This window comes from Homo sapiens, chromosome 22 (assembly GCF_000001405.40).
Source record: "Homo sapiens chromosome 22, GRCh38.p14 Primary Assembly".
Lineage (NCBI taxonomy): Eukaryota > Metazoa > Chordata > Mammalia > Primates > Hominidae > Homo > Homo sapiens.
The window spans coordinates 23,385,415-23,407,262 of NC_000022.11; the positions used below are offsets into that span (position 1 = coordinate 23,385,415).

The 21,848-nt window shown below is 61.1% G+C and overlaps 2 pseudogenes across 1 annotated transcript, besides 5 other annotated features; one reads left to right on the forward strand and one right to left on the reverse strand.

Moving 5' to 3' along the window:
* Window positions 637-1,619: an enhancer, noted in NCBI's record as "H3K4me1 hESC enhancer chr22:23728238-23729220 (GRCh37/hg19 assembly coordinates)". NCBI's record gives its function as "activates a minimal SCP1, AML or CMV promoter by ChIP-STARR-seq in naive H9 embryonic stem cells {active_cell/tissue: H9 hESC(naive)}" and the evidence as "EXISTENCE:reporter gene assay evidence [ECO:0000049][PMID:30033119]".
* Window positions 3,184-4,041: an enhancer, noted in NCBI's record as "H3K4me1 hESC enhancer chr22:23730785-23731642 (GRCh37/hg19 assembly coordinates)". NCBI's record gives its function as "activates a minimal SCP1, AML or CMV promoter by ChIP-STARR-seq in naive H9 embryonic stem cells {active_cell/tissue: H9 hESC(naive)}" and the evidence as "EXISTENCE:reporter gene assay evidence [ECO:0000049][PMID:30033119]".
* ZDHHC8BP (ZDHHC8B, pseudogene) lies at window positions 5,191-17,198 on the reverse strand (annotated as a pseudogene). The gene is given in 6 exon segments (NR_003950.1): window positions 5,191-6,310; window positions 7,313-7,419; window positions 8,512-8,643; window positions 14,346-15,169; window positions 16,427-16,539; window positions 16,947-17,198. The product of NR_003950.1 is annotated as a ZDHHC8B, pseudogene (transcript).
* Window positions 7,139-11,570, forward strand: CCDC188BP (coiled-coil domain containing 188B, pseudogene; annotated as a pseudogene).
* Window positions 7,487-7,987: an enhancer, noted in NCBI's record as "H3K4me1 hESC enhancer chr22:23735088-23735588 (GRCh37/hg19 assembly coordinates)". NCBI's record gives its function as "activates a minimal SCP1, AML or CMV promoter by ChIP-STARR-seq in naive H9 embryonic stem cells {active_cell/tissue: H9 hESC(naive)}" and the evidence as "EXISTENCE:reporter gene assay evidence [ECO:0000049][PMID:30033119]".
* Window positions 13,486-14,040: an enhancer, noted in NCBI's record as "H3K4me1 hESC enhancer chr22:23741087-23741641 (GRCh37/hg19 assembly coordinates)". NCBI's record gives its function as "activates a minimal SCP1, AML or CMV promoter by ChIP-STARR-seq in naive H9 embryonic stem cells {active_cell/tissue: H9 hESC(naive)}" and the evidence as "EXISTENCE:reporter gene assay evidence [ECO:0000049][PMID:30033119]".
* Window positions 14,130-14,903: an enhancer, noted in NCBI's record as "H3K4me1 hESC enhancer chr22:23741731-23742504 (GRCh37/hg19 assembly coordinates)". NCBI's record gives its function as "activates a minimal SCP1, AML or CMV promoter by ChIP-STARR-seq in naive H9 embryonic stem cells {active_cell/tissue: H9 hESC(naive)}" and the evidence as "EXISTENCE:reporter gene assay evidence [ECO:0000049][PMID:30033119]".
* Window positions 17,199-21,848: the final 4,650 nt, after the last annotated feature.

Genomic DNA, 21,848 nt, shown 5'->3' on the forward strand with positions numbered 1-21,848 from the left:
TCCGTCATTCCCTCTCAGATGACTCTTCATGTGGTTTGGTTTGCCTCTTGGAGTCCCTGCAGGGTGCCCCTGCTGACCCTAAGCTGGCCTCCTGCTCGCTGGGAACCCGGCCATCCCTCTGGTTCCTGGTTCTTCCTCCAAATGAGGTCTCTCTTAGCTGAGAGCAGCGCCTACACCCGGGCCACCCTCCATCCACGGCCTCACTGACCCAGGCCACAGCGGCTGCCACACCCTGGTCAGGGGCAGTCATGACCTTGGACAGGAGCTGGGACCCCTCCCCCAGCCCCAGCTGCCCACTGACAAGTGGGACAACCTGGGGCCAGGCCGGGGCTGCCCGAAGGCTACTATGCTTGGGAAGACCCCAAGACAGGAGCCCTGCCCCTTGGGAGGGGTGGCAAACTGCCCCGGGACAGTGCCGGGGTGTCTGGGATGATTCGTCTCCATGTGAAATGTGGGACAGACACCCTAGACTCAGCAAGGGAACTTCTGGCTACCTGGTCAGCCCCTGCCCTAGGCCTCCATGAGAACTTCGGATCCAAGTGGGGAGGTGGCTCCCCCAGCACTGCCCCTGACCTCCCAGAGCTTCCCCTGCTGGATGCTCCAGCTGCAGCTCCCAAACCACTTGGCCTGCTCTGGGCACTGCGTCTGCAGGGGCGTAGTGCCATCTGGTGGTGAAACTGGGAACTGCACCACAGCTCCAGCCCGTACCTGCCGCACACAAGTCCCGGAGACCAAGGGGTGGCCATGGAGGGATTCCAGGGGGCCTGCCGCTCCTCACCTGCTCCCCACCCACCCCCCATCTCTCTCTCAACCCAGGAGCCTGATACTGGGACACACAGACAGGCCCTGGGAGCTCACAGCCCAGCACCGTGTTTCCTGCTCCAATAGGCAGCCTAGTCCCAGCAGGTGCTGGGCAGGCACAGGGCAGCTAAGGGGACGGGTAAGGAGTCCTGGCTCTTGGCCCCAGCAAGGACCTGGGAGATGACCTTGGCACCGACCATCAGGCACTCGCCACACTGTCTCCCCAGGCTCCACTGTCTCCCCAGGCTCCGACTAGAAGGGACAGGTGGGCAGGAAGTGCCAAGAAGGTGGACTGGCCAAGCCGGTGGGCTCCTCACAGGGAGGAGCCTGGGCCTGGGCAGGGGTGGGCACGTTCAGTTCAGCCCCGGCAACCCTGGAGCCAGGGGCCTGGCAGCCCCAGCATGGCCACCTCCTGGGGCCTTGGAGCCCTGGACACCCTGGCTGACAGTCATTTACTGGGGCCACATTGTCCATGAGAGGTGACATTCTTATCTCTCTCTGATTCCTAAATAAAAAATGTGAAAAGCCGTGTCCAGAGCCTCACCCAGGAGGGAGACAAATGGCCTGCTATGGCCCGCACCCTGGGAGCGGCTTAGCCATGCTGGGGACGGGGCAGACAAAAGGTGAGCCCTTACCTCTCTGAGCCTCACCTCTGACATGGGAAGGCCCCAGGGACAGGGAGGTCATGGGCTCAGCATCCCCAGCACTCTGCCCTTCCCCCACACCCTGTTCCCAGGACCCAGCCCTCATCTGTTCTCTGTCCCCTCGGGGGTGCCCCACAGGGTGGGAAGGCAGGGGAGGCTGCCCGGCACTCGGGGCATGTGTCCACTCGCCACCCTGGCCCTGGACAGGGTGGGGCACTCTGCAGGCCACCGCATCCCTCACACAGCCCCCCGCAGACCCGTCCTCCTGGCTGTGAGTCTAGGGGAACCTGGGAGGCCCAAGACCACCCTTGGAGCCCCATGGGCCCTGACCGAAGGCCACCACGCACCTCTTCCCCTCCTGAGGCAAAGGAGCACTCACACCTCAGGCCACAGCCCAGGCCCTGGGAGGACATGAAGGGTAGTGCCCATGCCAGGGCCCATGGCCATTTCGGCCAGGTTTCCTGGGACCCCCAACCCTCCCCATAGGGCAGCTCTGAGGGCTGGAGAGGGAGTAGACCCTGACAGGCAGCCTGGGTGGGTGTGGGCCAAGAGCCCAGGTTAGGAGGGGGCACAGAGATAGGGTCCTCTGAGGGCTGTGGCTAGCCCAGTGACACCGAGTTCCATCCACTCAGGGCCTGTTCCCTGGCTTTTGAGATAAGCTTGGGAACAGCCAAGCACAGGCAAGGTGGCTCACACCTGTAATCCTAACATTTTGAGAGGCTGAGGTGGGCAGATCACTTGAGCCAGGAGTTTAAGACCAGCCTGGGCAACATAGCGAGACCCAGTCTCCACAAAAATAAAATAATAAAGAATTAGCTGGGCATGGTGGCGCATACCTGTGGTCCCCAATACACAGGAGGCTGAGGTGGGAGGATCCCTCAAGCCCAGTTGGAGGCTTCAATGAGCTGTGATCGAACCACTGCACTCCAGCCTGGGCAACAGAGTGAGATCCTGTTTTAAAAAATAAAAATAGAAAATAAATAAAACGAGCTTAGGGCATGGAACATCAAGGCGGCAGTGCAGACAGCAGAACAGCCCCATCTGGCCCCTGCCCTGCGCTGCAGCCCGGCTCCAGCAGGAAGGACTCGGGTCTCCATGCTGGGCGCCCCAGCCTCTCCTCCTCTTTGCCCTCCCAACCCATTCCTGGGCAGCAGAGGAGGGGCAAGGGCACAGGGCAGACCCTCTGAACCAGGCTCCTCGAGGCCATCTGGACACTGTGGCAACATGGGCAGGAAGCGGCTTCCGTTGCAAATGATGTCCAGGGAGGCGCCGGCCTGGCAACGGGGCCACGGCCCCCCCAGCACACTGCTCTGGCCACACTTTTCGCCCTCGAGGCCGGGAGTTCCGGCTTCCAGCCAGTGCCCCCGCCGCAGCCGCGCCCTGTCCTGCACGACATCCCGGAGCCTGGACCTGAGGCGAACCCCCACGCCCACCCCAATCCAGGACACCGCTTGGCAGGGCGCTTGGCCTTTGTTAGCGTATATGACCCCGTGAGTGGGGAACCCCAGGGCTGGGGATCCAGGGCCCCGTCTCTCCAAGAGTCCCCCCGACCTTCTCGGGCTCAGGGTGATTGGCAAGGATCACAGGGAGGGGTGAGAGGGGCTGGGGGAGGAGGGGCTTCAGGGCTGAGTGAGACAGCAGCAGCTTTCCCTGGCACAGGCGGGGAGAGGAGTGGGGGCATCAGGGAACTTGGGGTTTCCAGGCCAAGGAGGGTGGTGCCCAGGGTCAAGGGTGACGGGAGGACACTGGGCCATTCAGGGGGTCCTGGGCGCCCCCTCGGGGCCACTGGGGAAGCTCATCTAGGCCTGGGCACCTACGGTGGGACCTAAGGACCCCGCCCTGCTGTTCGCCCAGGAAGCCAGTGTTGTCTTCCTTGCTACAGGAGCCACCTGTCTCTGTGAGGACCTCTCACTCCTCAGCATCCTGGCCCCTGTGGGGCACCTAGCAGGCTGGGGACACACAGAGCAGGTGCAGCCCCCACCCCACTCACTCAGGGACACAGAGAGCAGGGGGCAGGCCCCGCCCCACTCAGGGACACAGAGAGCAGGAGGCAGCCCCCGCCCCACTCACTCAGGGACACAGAGAGCAGGGTGCAGCCCCCCGCCCCACTCACTCAGGGACGCAGAGAGCAGGGGCCAGCCCCCGCCCCACTCACTCAGGGACGCAGAGAGCAGGGGCCAGCCCCCGCCCCACTCACTCAGGGACACAGAGAGCAGGGTGCAGCCCCCCACCCCACTCACTCAGGGACGCAGAGAGCAGGGTGCAGCCCCCCGCCCCTCTCACTCAGGGACGCAGAGAGCAGGGGGCAGGCCCCGCCCCATGCACTCAGGGACAGAGAGCAGGGTTCATCCTCCCGCCCCACTCACTCAGGGACACAGAGAGCAGGGGGCAGGCCCCGCCCCACTCACTCAGGGATGCAGAGAGCAGGGGGCAGCCCCCTCCCCTGCTGCTCAAGGCCTCCTCCACCCCACCCCAGGGCCACCTCACCTCAGGGTTCCTCCAAGAGGCCTTCCTTAGCCCCCATCCCAAGTTGCCCCATGGGGTCTCTGAGCTCAGCAAATCCGGAGACCCATGACATTCCAGCAAGGAATGAACAGGGCAGAGGCCAGGGGAGGTTCCTGAAGGCTGCCGCCGCCCTCTGGCAGCTAACAGACAGCCTCCAGTAGCCAGGGCCAGGTATCCAGCCGCCTCTGCTGGGGAGGCCCCACGTGGCACTGAGAACAGGAGAGAGGTCTTCTGCAGACAAGATCTTTCAAGACACTTCTTGAAGTGGAGAGCAGAGGCTGACATAGCAGGACACCCTGGCAGGAAGAAGGCAAGCAGCTGGCAAGCAGTAGCCTCGTCACTGGTATGAGGAGACGTGTGCTGCAAACAAGCATGGCAGGACAGCAGCGGGAGCTGGTACTGTCCCCACTCCAGACCGCAGCCCTGCAGCCCGAGACGAGTGGGAGCCGGTACTGCCCCCACTCCAGACCGCAGCCCTGCAGCCCGAGACGAGTGGGAGCCAGTACTGCCCCCACTCCAGACCGCAGCCCTGCAGCCCGAGACGAGTGGGAGCCGGGACTGTCCCCACTCCAGACTGCAGCCCTGCAGCCCAAGATGCTGCCTGGAGGCAGGAGGCCTCCCTTCCAAGACCTGGGTGTCCGGCTTTCTCAAGTTAACAAGGAGAGAGGAGTGCCGGGCAGCTCTGCCTGCCTCCCCTATAAACAGGGATCAAAAAGAAAGAAAAGGCTGGGCACAGTGGCTCACGCCTGTAATCCCAGCACTTTGAGACGCAGAGGCAGGCAGATCACGAGGTCAGGAGATCGAGACCATCCTGGCTAATGCGGTGAAACCCCATCTCTACTAAAAATACAAAAAAATTAGCCGGGCGCGGTGGCGGGCGCCTGTAGTCCCGGCTGCTCAGGAGGCTGAGGCAGGAGAATGGCGTGAACCCGGGAGGCGGAGCTTGCAGTGAGCCGAGATCGCGCCACTGCACTCCAGCCTGGGCGACAGAGCAAGACCCCATCTCAAAAAAAAGAAAAAAAAGAAAGAAAAGCCAGACATTTGAGCACTGAGTCTCATGGGAAGTTCCAAGACTAAATAAACAAAAAAGAACCATGAGAGAAAATGCAGAAAGCAAAAGATTCGCCTTCCTCCAAACCCACTTTATGCCTAAGAGCAGAACTGAATTCTCTGGAACAAGAAGAGGGGAGCTCAGGGAATGATAGAGATGTCTTGGAAATGAAAAACAGGACTGCTAAAATCCAAAACCAATTTTTTATTTTTATTTATTTTAAAACAGTCTGGCTCTGTCACCAGGCTGGAGTACAGTGGTGTGATTTCGGCTCACTGCAACCTCTGCCACCCGGGTTCAAGCCAGTCTCCTGCCTCAGCCTCCTGAGTAGCTGGGATTACAGGTGCACACCACCACATTCAGCTACTTTTTGTATTTTTAGTAGAGACGGGGTTTCACCATGTTGGCCAGGCTGGTCTGGAACTCCTGACCTCAAGTGATCTGCCTGCCTCGGCCTCCCAAAGTGCCTGGGACTACAGGTGTAAGCCACTACATCCAGCCCCAAAACTAATTTTTTAAAAAGCAGAGAGAGTGTGTGTGTTTGGATTCAAGGAAAATCTTATCTACAAGCAAAGGTAGAAAGAAGGACTCACAGAATCTATCCAAAAGGCCCAACATCTGACTGACAGGAGTTCCAGAATGAGCAGGAAACGAGAAGAAATGTTATCAAAGAAATGCCAGGTCTCAAGGCAGAACGTGCTCACCAAGCGCCCAGCGTGGTGAGGAAACACCCGCAGTTGGTGTGACCCCCCAGAGGTGCAGGGATCAGAGGGGACCCTGCAGGCTTCCAGGGAGAAGGCCGGCGGCCTGGCTAGCTCTCACCACCAAGGACCACGACTGGCCTTCCAGTCCTGTTGGAAAATGCCCTCTTCCCCGATTCTCTCCCCAGCCTGATGTCCAGCAGGTGTGAGGTCAGGGTAAGACGCTTCTAGTCCCGTGAGGCCTTTTTTTTTTTTTTTTTGAGATGGGGTCTCGCTCTGTCGCCCAGGCTGGAGTGCGTGCAGTGGCACAATCTCGGCTCACGGCAAACTCTGCCTCCCAGATACCACACAAGGACTTCTCCGAGCCAGCTTTCTGAGGGTTAACTGAGGGCTGAGGGGTTCAAGAAGGAGGACACGGGCACAGGGACTCACGGGCAGTGAGAGGCAGTGGGGCCAATGGCGTGAGGAGCACCAGAGAGCAGGAGGGAACGGGCCTGGGGCGTGAATCCGGCCCCATGAGTGCTCTTCGGCCGCCCAAAACCGGTCCCATGGGTAACAGCGTGGCCTTCGGCAAGTGACTAAAGGGCTTCCTGCCTCAGCTTCCCCACCTGTAAACAGAGGATAACAATGGCATGTACTGGATCTGGCATAAAGTAAATGTTCAATAGATAGCTAGAAAAGAATGTTTTAAAACCTCAGAGATACATTAGGCGAAAATAAAAGCTGGGCTACAGAATGACCTCTTCCGTGGGGACGAGGGGCAGAGGACGGCAGCCCACCTCCAGGAGGAGCTTAAAGAGGCGGCTCCTGGCTGCAGGGACAGGAGATAGAAGTGGGAAAGGCTTGGGCGCCATTTTTATTGTTTGGTATTTTTTGAATCCACACTGTGTGTGTATTATCGGTTTTACATCTTAAGAAAAATAACCAGGCTGGGTGCAGTGGCTCACGTCTGTAATCCCAACACTTTCAGAGGCTGAGGCAAGAGATCGCTTGAGGCCAGGAGTTTGAGACCAGCTGGGCAACACAGGGAGACCCCCCCATCTCTGCAAAAAATTTAAAAATTAGCCGGGCATGGTTGCATAAATCTGTAGTCCTAGCTACTTGGGAGGCTCAGATGGGAGGATTGCCTGAGCACAGGGATTGGAGGCCGCAATGAGACATCATTGTGCCACTGCACTCCAGCCTGGGTGACAGAGCAAGGCCCTTTCCCATAAAAAGAAAGAAAGAAAAAAAACTCTTGGTGGGTCAGAGGCAGTGAGGTCATCAGGCGGGGCAGCTTCAGGACCAGGTGGAAGGGGCCCACTGTGACCTCCCTGGCTGCACCCAGGCCTTTGTGACTGGGAGCCAGTGGGTCACCCAGAGCCCTCAATAAGAGGGCAGCAGGTCGGGCCAGGCCAGAGCCTGGACCTGGGGTCAGGAAGGGGTTGCAGGGAAGGATGGAGGGGCTGAAAACCCTGGGCCCCTGCGGCCACGCCCAACCCCAGTGTCCCCCAGCCGCAGCCTCCAGCAGCCATGGAGGATGCCTGGACTAGCACTGCCAGGGATTTGTAGTGTGACCCTGCCTGGGCCCCATCTCCTCTGCTCACTCAGTGCAGTCCCAGAGACCTTACCCAGTCCCAGGGGCAGGGGGTAGTGGGGAGGGGATCCAGGGTGGAGGGCGAGGCTGCCAGGATCTTTTCTGTCCAGCGAGGAGCAGAGAGCGAGAAACCCTGAAGGGCTGAGACAAGGAGACCTGGAGTCAGGGCTCGGGTGGGGCTGGCCCCTGCACCCAGGGTCGAACCAGGGGGCTCCCAGGCAGGGGGGATTCACTGGCTCCGGGGTCAGACCCTGCCCATGCCCACCCCTGTCATCAGAGGGAGGGGCCCTGGCCTTGCCCAAGGCAGCCCTGTCCCAGCTTCAGTGTGGGCCTCTGGGCTCTGCAGAACAGTCCTTCCTGGAGCAGGAGAACCACAGCCTGGTGAGCACCCACCCATCACCTGGCGCCCCTGCCCCAGCCCCAGCCCCAGCCCCAGGAGCGGCCATGACAAGCAGTCCCCTCTCTCTGCTCCCCACCCCAGAAAAGACAGAACCAGGACCTTCGGGAGCAGCTGGGGGCCCTCCTGGGGCCGGGGCAGCAGTTCCTGCCCCTGTGTCCCGAACACTCAAGCTGCACTGCTCTGGCCTGGGTAAGTACAGGGCCCAGGGACCCCATGCAGCCAATGCCCCACTAGCCCACAGCCTTGGGGCTGATCTGGGGGCTCTCCCACAGCCCCCCGACCCGGCTGGCACGCAGCCCTTGGGGAACAGGGCACCTCTGCAGCTGCTGCGGCGGGAGCTGTCCCAGGGGCAAGAGGCTTTCGTGCAGCCGTCCCTGGTGGGCCTGGGGGAGGGGCTGTGGGGGGAGGAAGCTTCGTACAGCACTCCAGGTGGGCCTGAGGGGTTCATTAGGGAGGGAGGTCTTCGTGCAGTAGGCTAGTGGGCCCGGCGGGGAGGTACCGGCCACCCTGCTGATGCTGCCCAAGCCCACCCTGGGCCCCACCCTCAACGAGCTGCAGCAGATCCGCCTGTGCTTTGAGAGGAAGAAGATGGTCATCACAGAGGTGCCCGCCTGGCTGAGGGGGAGGGGTGCTGGGGGCCACCCCGTGGGTCCTGCTCCTCAGGCGTGACCCCACCTTCTCCCAGGCGTGGGACAACGTGGCTGAGATGCACGTGGCCCTGAACAACCAGGCCACCGGGCTCCTGGTAGGTCCCCACAAGGCAGCACCCAGAAGGATGGGGCCCGGCGGGCAAGAGGCCGGGGAGGGCAGGGCCAGGGGCCTCATGTGCTTACCTCCTCTGGCCCCCAGAACCTCAAGAAGGACATCTGGGGCGTGCTGGACCAGATGGAGGACATCCAGCTGGAGATTCTCAGGTAACACAGGGGCAGGGGCTGGGCCAGCTGAGCAGGGTCTCGGAAGGGGTTCTGGTCAGGACAAGGCAGATACATCCTTGACCCTCCCCACCTACCTCCATAGCACTGAGCCGGGGGTGGGTGCCAGGCTGGGGGGTGGAGGGCGTGGGGTCTTGACAGTGAGGCCTCTGCAGGGAGCGGGCCCAGTGCCACACTCAGGCCAAGAAGGAGCCGCAGATGGCGAGCATGGCAGTGAGCCCCCCACGCCCCACTCTGGGTCTGGAGACCAGCCCCCCACCCAGCACCCTGCTTGGGCAAGGGGGAGAAATGAGCTCCAGCAGAGCAGGTCCAGGGTGGGGGGCATCTGAAAAGTGGCTGCAGGAGCCTGTCCAGGAGGAAGGGGCCAGGGCTGCGGTGCGGGGAGCCCTGTCTGAGGAGGGTTTCCCAAAGCCAGGGATCCCCGCCCTCAGCCTGGACCCTCGGAGTGGGCTCCCCTCCCCATCAGAAAGGGAGACCAAAGTTGGAAAGCTCCAAGGGCCTGGCAGGCCAGCTCTGGTAGGTGACTGTGTGGCAGAGCCCAGCCCCCAGGCCCCCTGCGTGCCCCTGGCCCTGACTGCCACCGCCCGTAGGCTGCTGATCCTGAGGCTGCTGCTGGGCACCCTGCTGGTCGCCTACGTGTACATGGTGAACCCCAGGCCCTTCGAGGGGCTGGTGCCGCCCCTGCTGAGCCGTGCCACCATCTGGAAGCTCCGGGCCCTGCTGGACCCCTTCCTGCGCCTTGAGGTGGATGGCTTCCTGTCCTTCTAGGCCGGAGGCCCAGCGGCCCCAGCAAGGAGGTGGCCAGGCGACCAGCGCTGCCCCAGATGCCCAGTGGCTGCGCTGGCCCCCTGCACACGGCACCACTGTGCACCGTCCCTGCCAGGAGCTGCAGAGAAGGGGGGTGGCGGGGTCTGTCCTGAGGGTTGGGCCTGTGGTTGGACATAGAATCATGACATATGTAGCCGGTGAGCACGTCTCTGTGGAAATTGGGGAAGGGACGCCGGGGCGATCCGGCAGCGAGGGTCCCTCAGGGTGGAGACCCCAGCTCAGGGCCGGCTTCCCACCCCACATCCCACCTGCCCTCCAGAAGGCAGCCCCTCTGCACGGGGCTCTGACCCAAGGCGTCTTAGGAGGGTCTCCACTGAAAGGCAACAGCAGTAAGGACTGGGGAGTCCTCAGGTCTTGCCCCCTGGGCCAGGCCCTCCCAGGGACCTCAGAGGTCAGGTTTTCAGCACTGAACCTGCTGATCCACTGACCTCATGCCCCTCATGCAACTCCCCTCCCTTCCTGGCCACCACCCTCCCTGCCCAGGTCCTGTCACCTCCCCAACCCAGGGCCCTGTCCGGTCCAGGGGGCCACACTGGTAGACAGAACTGTGGAGATCAACACCAAAAATTCTATCTGGGGAATTAATTAGCAGGGATACCCTTAAGAACAATAGAGAATGGTTTTGTGGCTTTCTCATCCCAAAATGGGAGAAATAGAGCCGCAGCCCAAGGTAAACCAGGGACAGGGACCCTGTGCTGAAGGGCTGGCCGGGATGCCACGCTGCCATAGGCTGTACCACTGCTGGAGGACACAGGACTTGGGCCTTGGGCCCTCTGAGCTCCCAGCGGCATCATCTTTGGGAGCAGGCAACCCCAGCGGGGCCCAGGCAGAGCTGGCCATGACCACAGGACCTTGGTGGCAGGCAGGGGCCAATGGCTCACCAGGCTAGCGGCTCCAGGAAGTTAAGTCATCTGTTCATGTGTCAGGGGAAGGGAAGGAGGAGTGCAGAAACCTTTGGGGGCAACCTGAGACCCCCCCACCCAGCCCACTCCACGGAGGCCTGGGCTCCCAGAGGAGGAAGTGGCTTAGTCTAAAGAGGTTGGTTGGGCAGGGAGGCCGGGCAAAGGTTGTGCTGGTCCCCACAGCTCTGGGGCTGCCCCCTGTGGGGTGCTGGACCCCCTGCAGCAGGTGGGGGACTCCTTGAGGTCACGTGGACACAGGGTCTCAGGCGCTGGCAGGCTGGGAGTCTGTCAAGCTGTGGCTGGTGAAGAGAGCCCAGCCCACCCCCAGCCCTGCCCCAGGGTCCATGGCAGTCTGACCTCCTGGGTCCCCAGCTGGGCTGTCCCAGACCCGCCTACTTGTCATCCTGCTAGGGCCCGGAAAGGCTGGGGAAAAGACTGGAGGCAGCCAAGGGCAGGCAGCACATGGCCCCGCATGGGGGTGCCCTGGCGACCAGGCTCCAGGGGGCCCGCAGTGGTGGGTGGTCCTCTGGGTGGCCAAGGTGGCACAGGAGCAGCCCAGGAGGCACCCAAGGCTGGCCACACTGCCCCCATCCACAGGTGCAGGTGCCAATCCACCCCCTGTGGGCTGTGGCATCCGTGAGAGAGAAGCAGAAAGTTGGTCAACACGGCACCAGCTTCAGGGCCCTAGAGCTCACACCCTTCCCGCACTGAGATAGCCTCAGCCCAGGATGTCTCAGCCCCGAACAGCTGTGCACCCCTCACACTCCCTCAGCGCTGCCCCTGGCATTTGGCAGGCAGGAGAGTTCCAGCAGGTTCAGCAGCCCCTACAGGGCCCTGTGCCAGCAGGTGGCCCCTATGCACCCCTATTTCATCTCCCCAAGCTCTTGGGTTCCTGGGATTCCCCTGTGGGTAGTGGCAGACCCAAGTCTTTCCCCCAAACACCCTGTCACTGCCAGAACTGATGCAGACCCAAGGCGAGAGACCCTCACACTTCCCAGCCACAGACCATCGGCCACCCCCTCCTCCCAAGCCTCTGACTCAGCCCAAGTCCACAGAAATGCCCCCAAGGAACCCACCGATCCCTGCACACCAGACAGCAGCCACCCCCTCTTCTGAGGCCTGGCCCCTGCCCTCCCCTAACTCTGGGGGTTCTGCAGCAACAGCCCTGGCCTTGCCTGAGGAAAGAATCAAAATAACTTTTTTAAAATAAAATTATAGATATATAGATGTAGATATAAAAACATAAAACAGAAACAACGCAAGCGGACGCTGTTGTGTGCTTACTCTCAGGTCCCTGACACCAAGGGAAGCACTGACCCCTCCCCAGTGTGCTTTGCCACGGCGTGAGCACCGCAGCCAGGCCGGGGCTGGGGACGTGGCATGCCTTGGGGCAGGGTTCTCCAGTTTGGCAGGGAGGGCCTGAGGGCTGGGGAGGAGGCTCTGGGTGTCACAGGCCCCGTGGCAGCATCACCCCCGTGCCTGCTCCCGCCTGCCCCGTTGCCTCCCATAAGAGCATAAAAAAAGGTTCAGGCTTTGGTGAAAGGGACGGCGGCGGCCGGAACACTGACACATGGCTGGCCATCTGTCCACCCATCCACCACTACCCAGAGCAGATCAGAGCAGAAGCATCATTGGCCTTGCCAAGCTACGAGCTTCCAGCGGGGTCCATGAAAGGCAACGTGTTAGGAGTAGCCTGGCTGGGGACACTCGGTCTGGGAACCCACAGGCTGTGTCGGAAGGACGGCGGGGGCCCTGGGTGCCTCTGTCGATCTCTGGGACCCATCCGTAAGGGGACCGTTGGGGGCTGGCCTGGCAATGACCTGGGGTGCATGGGTGATGGGAGTGAGCCAAGCCTGGCTGAGAGAGCGTGCCCCAAAGAGACTGACTGGGCCCCCTCACTGCCCCAGCCATGGGATGGGCCCAGACACAGACCAGCCCAGTGGCCCTTGGCCCAGTGAGCCAACTTCCCCATGGGCAGATGAGTGGACGGGCAGATGAGTGGACAGGCAGGCAGAGCGCTTGCGGCAAGCTGTGGAGGCGTGGCACTCTCTCCCGCCGATGGGTCCACACCAGGCTGGGGTGGCCTTGGGTCCCTGGGGCAGAGAAGTTGATGGGGAACGGGGGTGTGCTGCGGGGTCCTGGTCCCCGTGGCACCACGGCGGATGGGTGGTGGTCAGTCCTCACACCAGGATCTCGTACATGGTCCCACCCACGCCAGACACCTTCTTAACCAGCGTGTGCCACATAGATCTGGCAGAGGGCCCTGGGGGGCCTGTGGCAGGTCCCAGCCGGGCCAGGCCCAGAGACTGCCCATTAAGCTTACCTGGGGGAGTCTTCAGCTGAGGGTGGTCCCTGCATCAAAACAAGCACATACACGCATGCACACGGTGAACACACGAACACGGGGACAGAGGACGGAGGAGGCAACAGGACAGAGACGACACAGACGTGGACTGGTGTAGCCATGTCGTGGGGCCCTGGGCAGTCCCTGCCCTCTAGGCTCGGAGGGTTCACCCAGAAAGTAGGAGGGAGATGCAGAGCCTGCCTGGGGAGCGGCTGTGCCATCACAGGACAGATGTTGTCAGAACTGCCACCACCCTCCCAAGTCCCTGGGTCCCTAGGCAGCACTGGCCACAGAGAGCATGGGGCAGTCAGGTGGGCACTGAATGGAGCCCCTGCCCTGCTCTGCACTGGGAGCCCGGCCACTCTGCCTGGCCTCATTCCTGCTCTCTCTCAGGAAAACGAGGGGCTGCCCTCCTGCCCACCAGCGCTGACCAACAGCAGCTCTATCCTTGCTGCTTAAACCTTCTCAAGGTGAGAGCCCTTTGTCCCCGGGCTGCGATCCCTGCCTGGCTGCAATGCTGCCCACTTCTAGGTCTCGGGCTCCCCACTCATCACTCCCAGTGGCAGCCTCCTCCCCAACTCCACAAAAGCTGAACAGACTCCTACCCTGTGGGGTAGGGGAGGCCTCCTCAGGGCTGGACTGCTGTGCCCTCAGCCCCTTTGTGGCCAAGTGGCCTGGGCTGGGCTGGGCGGGGCTGGGCTCTCCCCCTGGGGCCGCATCTGACGACAGGAAACAGCTGAGCCTGTGCTTGAGGTTTCCAGGCCCAGACGGGGTGACAGACGACAGATGCCGTGAGGACACCATGCGTCCGTGGCGTGGGTCCTGGCCCCAGCAGGTGTGCAGCTCTCCTACCTGGGCCTGGGCCTACAAGCCAGCTGACCCCGCTCTCTCAGTTACCAACCTGCTGGGTGCCTGGAGCCAGCCTGCTTTCTCCAGTCCTCAGTTTCCCCACTACGAGCAGGGAAGCCCCTGCTTCCCAGAACTATGTCCCACAGGGAGGGCCAGGGCCCGGCCACCCAGGGAGGCACATTCTGCTGCGAGGTAATGTCCTCAGCCCCAGCCTCCTAGAGATGCAGCAAAGCAGGCCCAGGGAGAGCACCGGGTAGACAGGGCCACTGTGACCCAGGATGCCAGAGCCACAGCCTAAAGGAGGCCCAGGCTGCCACATGATACTGACCCCAAAGAGAAAGCCCCATGGCCTCCTACGTGCTGGGTCTGTGCCAGCTCTGGAAGAACAAGTCATTGGGATCAGGACACAAATTCTCATACCCTGTCCCCAGAGCATGCCCAGGACATCCTCAGAGCTGGGCCACACGGGCTAGCCAAAGCCTTCAATGCAGGGTGAGGCGCATCCTCCCTGTCCCGTCCCCAGAGAAAAACTCAGGCCCCTGGGATGACCTATGAGTGCCCAGCCAAGAGGGGCCCTGCAGACGGCTGGACAGCTGCCCTGTGCCAGGAAGCCCACCCGCACCTCCCAGCACCCACCTCTGCACGGTCAGCGAGGGCGGTGGCTCTAGGAGGTCCATTTGGATGAAGGTGACACCTTTGGGGCCTGTGTAGGATGGTGAGTGGGGAGTGCCGGGCGGGGAGGGCAGGCCCTGGCGTGCGGGCGACCTGTGTGAGCCACTACTGGGCCGGGGCCCCGGGGCGTTGCTGCTGACCTGATCAGCCTGCAGGGAGGAGGACGACGTCCGCAGTGCACGGCTCACGGAGCTGGAAAGCGAGGACAATGATGTCTGCAGGACAGGGTTGCAGGCGCCGCCGAAGCCGGGCCTGGCCACAAGGTCATCTGTAGAGCTGTAGCACAGCGTAGGACCTCGGAAGCCCTCAGACAGCACACTGGCCTGCTGCAGGCTGTAGGAGCTGGGAGCATCATAGACGCCTGAGTCGCCGAAGAGTGAGTCGGCCTGGGAGCGCAGCAGGCACTCACGCTCCTCCCTGTCCTTGCGCTCCTGGATGGATGCCATGATGGTCCTGGACAGGATGTCGTAGAGCACAGGCGAGGGCTCCTGGGGCCGGGGGCCCAGCACGGGACTGAAGCTGTGGGGCAGGGGCCATGGTGGGTCGCCCGTTGCCCCAGGGTGCAGGTAGGGTGAGTGGTATCCGGCCACGCCAACTGCTGGATGGGCGAGGCAGGCGTGGCCACCAGGCGAGCCAGGGTTGAGCACATTATTGTAGGACAGGCTGCGATTGTGGTTGGGCAGTGCATGGGGGGGCAAAGATGCTACGGTGGGGCATGGGAGGCCCACCCTCGGAGCACAGGGGCTGCAGGGCCACGTAGTCCCCGCCCTGCCGGCTTGAGGCCTTGAGGCTCAGGGAGCACAAAGCAATGAGAAGGCATCAGAGGCGCTGAGCGGTGGGGATGGCAGGTAGGCTGCGTGCAGGCCCCCGGGCCCATAGTCAGGGAAGTCCAGGCTCGGCTCGACACAAAGTCCAGGCTATGGATGCTGTCGTCCCCCAGGATAAGGGAATCGGGGCCTGGAACCTGTAGGGAGAAGGCATTCTCACCACTGCCCACCTGCTACCCTGCCTGCAGCTGCCAGTCAGCACCCACGGGGTCCACACCTGGCACCGCGGCCTCAGGAACTGGGCCTCAAGGAGCCGTTAAGAGCCACATAGTGACCCATGGCCCTGTCCCTGAGCATCCATGGCTGAGGGGCAGGGGCTCTGCAGCGGGAGGGAGGCCACAGCTGGCTACTGCAGACACCCAGGGCTCAGCCTTTTGAGCTACGCAGTCCCAGGGGCCTACCACTCAGGGCAACCACAGGGAGGAGGGGCCTCGTCTAGCCTCTTTGATGGGCACGTGGGCATGGGCTTGGGCTTGGGCTAGGGACAAGAGCCTCAGGAACCACAAAGCCAGAAGGCGATCAGGGCCAATGTAGGCTCAATGCACTTGGCCAACCAGACCCAATCCCCCACTGGACCCAGGAGTCCCAGGAAGATGACATACCCGGAGCCCTCATCTCCAAGCAGGGCTACCGCCTCCTGAGAGGCATGGCCCCTGCATGCCTGCAGACTCAGACCCTTGACAAGGAGCCTAGACTCACTGCTCCACCATGTGACTCTCTCCAGGAAGGACATCAATCCTGAGGGGAGAGGTCCCCAGGGATGGGGCTGGTCTGGGTGCACGGGCCCAGCCACAGGCCTGCCTCTCCGGGTGGCCCAGAAGGAGGGACGGCGCCCTGGGGCTGTTCAGCATTCCTGATCACTGCAAAGACCGCCCTGCGCTGCTCACCATTCCAGTGACCACAGAGCACTCATGCAACTCAGGGAAGAAAAATGTGCTTTCTCCAGCAGGTCTCAAATTCTTCCAAAGTCTTCCCATAGGCCTTACAGAGTGACTAATGGTGGAATTCCACGCATCCTGGTACCCAGTGCTCCTGGAGCCAGCCGCCCACCTGGCCTAGGACAACGCTGGCCAAGGGACAGATGCCAAGCCTGGACGTCCCGTGCCAGCCCCTTCCAGGACACCCTGCTCCTCTCCGTGGGTCCCAGCTCTGGGTGCACACAGGCAGGGTCCTACCAGTCACACAAGGCCCTTGGTGACCCAGGCAGAGCCCTGAGGGGTGTGGCCTCAGGGGATGTGGCCTCTGCTGGAGAGGCAGGGCTCAGGGGGGGCCCTTCACGGGGTGAAAGCTGTGGGGAGAGCTCCTGGAGGCAGGCCTGGGGGGACAGGGCTTGGGCGTGCAGGGGGCAGGGGGCAAGGCGGGGGAGGAGTGGGGGGCAGGCCACGCCTCTTTACCTGCTCGCCTCATCCACAGAAGGTGCCTTAGGACCCGTGAGCCGGCCTAAACTTGTACATGGCAGGCGTCGGGGGGTGGCGGAGGCTGGTCCTCTGCACCGACAGGGCACTCTCTGGGGATGTAGACCACTGTCAGACTGAGGTCAGATGGGGGTCAACCCATGTCCCTCCCCAGGTGTGGCTGCCCCGACCTCACCAACACTGCCTGGGCGTGGGGTCTGCAGGTCACTGCTGAACGTGCCAGCCTCCATCTTGGGGGGGCAGCGCCGGCCCCAAGTCCAGCGGCTTATCTAGCGGGTCCAGGCTGCCCTTGGACTGGGAGGGGGCGGGGTCAGTGGTGTGTGGGGCTTGGATGATGGGCAAGGCTTCGCTAGGGATTCGACCTGGAAGCTAGTCCTCTCCCCAGAATCTGTCTACGGCTCCACCTACCCCATCCACCTCTTTTAGGCCCCCCCTAACTTGCCTGTTTCCCCATCCAAGGGCCTGACTGCCAGCTTAGGCCCGCACCGCAGACACTCACCTCCAGCAGACGCCCTCTTCATCGCAGGGGTGGGGCGGGGCGCGTCGAGGACCGAAAGTCGCTTTGGGGCCGGCGCCCGTCTCCCCGCAGCCAGGTCCACATCCAGGCGCCGCCGCTCCGGCCGGGCCTGGCCGCGGGACAACGCTAGGCGTGCAGGGCGAGGGCGGCGCGGGCCTCCGGGAGGATGAATGTCTTATGGAATCAGGTGGTTTGACACTCGAGGAATCCGCCCAGTTCCCCTGGGCCGGCCAGGGCGGGCCGGGGGCGGACCCGGGCTGGGCCTCGCGGTGGGCGGGGCGCTCACCTGGGCGCCGGCGCGGGCGCGGGCCCGGGCTGGGGCTGGGGAGCACGGGCCGGCGGGAGCGCGGGCGCGAGGGGGGCGGAGGGGGGTTCTTGGGCGGCGCAGCGGGCCGGGGCGCGCTGCAGGCCAGGCAGCAGGAGGCGCTCAGCCAGCGCAGTGCACCCGCGCCGCGCGGGCCCAGACAAAGGTGGTGTATTCCTAAAGAGGCGGCGGCCCCTGCAGGAGGCCGAGGGGATGGCGGCCCGGGCCGCAGTGGGCCAGGCCCCAGGCCTGAGAGTGTGGCGGCCTAAGCTGGCCCGCTCCCCAAGCGGGCAAGGGCTTTGTCCGGAGGCCTGGGCATGGCCTCTGCCTACCCACTCCCTTCCTGGCCTCACGAAACCCATGAACCCCTCCCCGCCGGCCCCCTGCACAGAAGCCCTTGCTGGAGCACGGTCGCCCCCATTTTTCAGTAAGAAACAGGCTCTGCACTGTTTCTTAGGCTTAAGAGAGTTCTGGGGGCCCTCCTGGGCCTTTGTGGCCCTCTCTGCACCACCCTAGGGACGGGATCCAGGCCTGATGTTACCCGTAACCCTTCAGGGGTCTCCCACCTCTTCCCGCCTGCGGAATGGGGACTCCAAACCCAGAAGACGCTCTCGGAGGCCACCTCCTTAGTATCCCCCACTCTACCAAGCCAGCTCTCATGGGGCAGGGGGGAGGGGGGACGGGCATGGGGCCAAAGAACCCAGTGACACCCCTGCACACAGGGGTGCAGGTGTCCCTTCTCTGCTTTCTGCTCGGGGCACCCACCGGGCCTCACTGATGTGCTCCTAAGTGTATCCCGGGGTCTTGAGACAACTGCCAGGCTGCCCCTGCACCTGGAGAAGTGCTGGGAGTCAGCTCAGCCGGGCTGGGTCCTCCCCAGGCCCACCCTGCATGAGAGGACCATGCAGATGAGGGTCTTGCAGGCCCACCTGGTGTCAGTCTGTAGGACCCTGACTCAGGGATGGAGTGGGCCAGCCTGAGGCCTTGATGGCCCTCCTTAGAGCCCAGGTCCACTGACATGAAGCAGAGAGACCTGGTGACTGGGCAGCCCTGTGCTCTCTGCCTGCCCCTGGCCATGGAGGTGGCCCTGAGGGACATGAGCAGGGTGCAAGGCTGGTGGCCTGCCTGCTTTGTCCAGAGGAAGTGAGGACCTACCAGAGCCCTGGTGCTCCCATCTCAGCCCAGTGGCAGGCAGTTTCGCGGGACGGAGACATACTGGATGGGCCGGGCCCTCTGCCTGGTGTGGAGGCTGCACTGTCCACACACCTCTGGTTGCCACTCTGTAGCCCTCATCACCTTGGCCTGCTTTATCCCTATCACCCTTGTCCCAGCCTAGGCTTACCAGGGCATTGTGGAGTGCATGCCATTCCCAGTCGCACAGAAGGTGAGGTGGGGCCCAGACACCCCCCAGCCACTCTGCCCCCTGGCCTCCTGAAGGGGTGGGCTGTGCACACACTGCCACCTCCCCAGGGGGTACTGGCTGCCAAGTGCCACCATCTCAGCCCTTGCGGTGGCTCAACGGGTCCTCCCAGAGCCACATCAAGACGTCGTCATCCATTGCACAGATGGAGAACCTCAGGCGAAGCTCACATAGCCAGTGGGAGGCTGAGGCCTGACCCCCAAACAAGCATTCTTCCTCCAGGGTCCCTGCACACAGCAGCCTTCAGACTAGGAACTGAGCTCTTGCCACAGGGATGTATCAGACCCTAGATGAGTCATGTGGCACTGGCCATCAGTCTGAGGACAGCACTGGGGTGGACCAGGCTCCAGTCTTGGGCTGCTCTGTGCTTGCAGAGAGGCCTTGAGACACTTCTGTGCTTACTGTGCAGGCGTCACTTCCATTATCAGTGACCCAGAGCGGCCCACTACAGCTGAAGATTGTGACCCCACCCCCTCTCTCATAGGTTTAATGCCCCTCCCACCCCTCCTGGAGCAGCCGAAGTGACCATTCTGGGGCATGGGATGGGCATGGGAGGAAATGGGGAGCCAGGGCTGCCCTGGAGACTTCTGGTATCAGAACCCTCTCCAGCCACCAAGCCCAGCTGTCCCCAGTTGCTCTGGGTTGGGGCCTGGGCCTCCACTTCCCCACAGGTCTGTGCAGTGGGAGCAAGGCAGAGGCCCGCAGAGGGACAGGCTGGTTTCCTGTGTCTGCCAGCTTGGTCAGCACCTTGGCCAGCGCCCTCCCCGCTGGAAGCTGGGCCCACTCCTCGGTACTGGCTGGCTGATTAGGTGTGGGCCAGCGCTGACAGGGAGTTATGGGGGTGCAGAGGCAGGACAGGCCATCTGTGCCCAGCTGATCTGAGTGCCCAGGTTTTCTGGACACGTGACCCTGGGGATCAGGAATGAGCTGGAGACTGGAGACAGCTGTGCCCTCAGGGCTGGACAGACCTGTCACACCCTGCCTGGGCTAGGTCAGCAGGGCCACACAGGCATCTGCCTCAGTTGCTCCCCACCTCACACCCACCCTGTAGGGCACATCCTCTGCCAGTTTGCTCAGCCCACCAACCCCCTCCAATGAGGCCAGAGGCTGCCTCACCTCCAATACCCACCCCCAACCTGGGGCTCGGCTGAGCAGGGGTCAAGAAGGGCGAGCACGCATTTCGAACTTGCCCTGGTTTTGAGCTGAGGGAAGCAGAGGATGCAGGAGTTGCCCACTCCAGAGGCCCTGGGTGTGCGTGAGGAGCCCTGAGGCTGGGCTGAGCCGCTTGTGGGAGACACTGTGCCCCCTCCATCTGAGATCGGGGCCTGGGTGCCCGGGACACTACAGACCTTTTGGGGAACCTGGGAGTCGGGAAGTCTAGAGATGGGACCCACAGGCTGGAGTCTGGGCTTTCATCCACACTCCCCCCGCCCGACACTCCCCCAGCCACCGCCTGCACATCAGGGGAGACAACATGCCCCCACGCCCACCTCTGTCCCCAGCAGGGCTGTTCCTCCCCTCATCTGCTCGGATCAGTGTTTTCTTTAACTGAGCCCCATGGTGGCGAAGGGAGAGCTCCAGCGGACCAGGCAGCAGAGAGGGGAGGGGAGAAGCCCTCAAACAGGCCATGCGCTCTCCACAGAGCCGCATACAGCAGGAGGGGGCTGGGCAGCCGGCTCAGAGCCCATTCTCTCCTGGGTACTCTTCTGGAATGGCCCCCGGCCCCACTCTGTTCCAAACATGGGACCGTCCAGCCTGGGCAACAAGAGTGAAACTCCATCTCAAAAAAAAAAAAAAAAAGTAGGAATTAACTAAGGAGGTGAAAGACTTGTACAATGAAAAGTACAAAACATTAGTGAGAAAAATTAGACATAAATAAATGGAAACATATTCCATGCTCATGGATTGGAAGACTTTATATTGTTAAGATATCAATAATACCCAAAACAATCTATAAATGTAATGCAATCTCTACCAAAATACCATTACTTTTTTGCAGAAATAGAAAAACCTATCCTAAATTCATATGAAATATCAAAGGGCCCCGAATAGCTAAAGCAATCTTGAAAAAGAAGAACAGAGCTGGATAAGTCACATTTTCTGATTTCAAAACTTACTACAAAGCTACAGTAATCTAAACAGTGTGGTACTGACATAAAGATAGACATACAGACTGATAGAATAGAGAGCCCAGATGTATAGTCAAATGATTTCTGATGAGGGTGCCAAGACCATTTAATGGTGAAAGAACAATCTTTTCGACAACTGGTGCTGGGAAAACTGAACATCCACACACAAAAGAATGAAGCTGGATCTTTACCTAATAGCATATATAAAAATTAACTCAAAATGGAACAAAGACATAAATGTAAGACTAAAACAATAAAACTCCTAGAGGAAAACATAGAGGAAAAGCTTCATGACACTGGATTTGGCAATGATTTCTTGCATATGACACCAAAAGCACTAATAGCAAAATAAAAAGACAAATTAGACTTCATGAAAATTAAATTTTTATGTGCATCAAAATACACTATCAACAGAGTAAAAAGACCACACACAGAATGGAAGAAAATATTTTAAAATCATATACCTGATAAAGGATTAATAAACAGGATATATAGAGAACTACTAAAACTCAACAACAAAAAAACCACCAACCCAATTTAAAAAATGAGCAAAGCAGCCAGGCACTGTGGCTCACATCTATAATCCCAGTACTTTGGGAGGCCGAGGAGGGTGGGTCACTTGAGGTCAGGAGTTCAAGACCAGCCTGGCCACCATGGCAAAACCCCGTCTCTACAAAAAACACAAAAATTAGCATGGCATGGTGGTGCATGACTGTAGTCCCAGCTACTCGGAAGGCTGAGGCACGAGAATCACTTGAACCCAGGAGGCGGAGGCTGAAGTGAGCCGAGATCACAGCACTGCCCTCCAGCCTGGGTGACACAGTGAGACTCTGTCCACCCCCTCCAAAAAAAAAAAAAAAAAGAGCAAAGGACTTAACTAGACATTTTTCTAAAGGTATACAAATGGCCAGCAAGCACTTGAAAGGATGCTCAACATCATGAATCATTAGGGAAATGCAAAGCAAAACTGCAATGAGACACCACCCCACACCCATTAGGATGAATACCATTAAAAAAAAACAACAGAAATT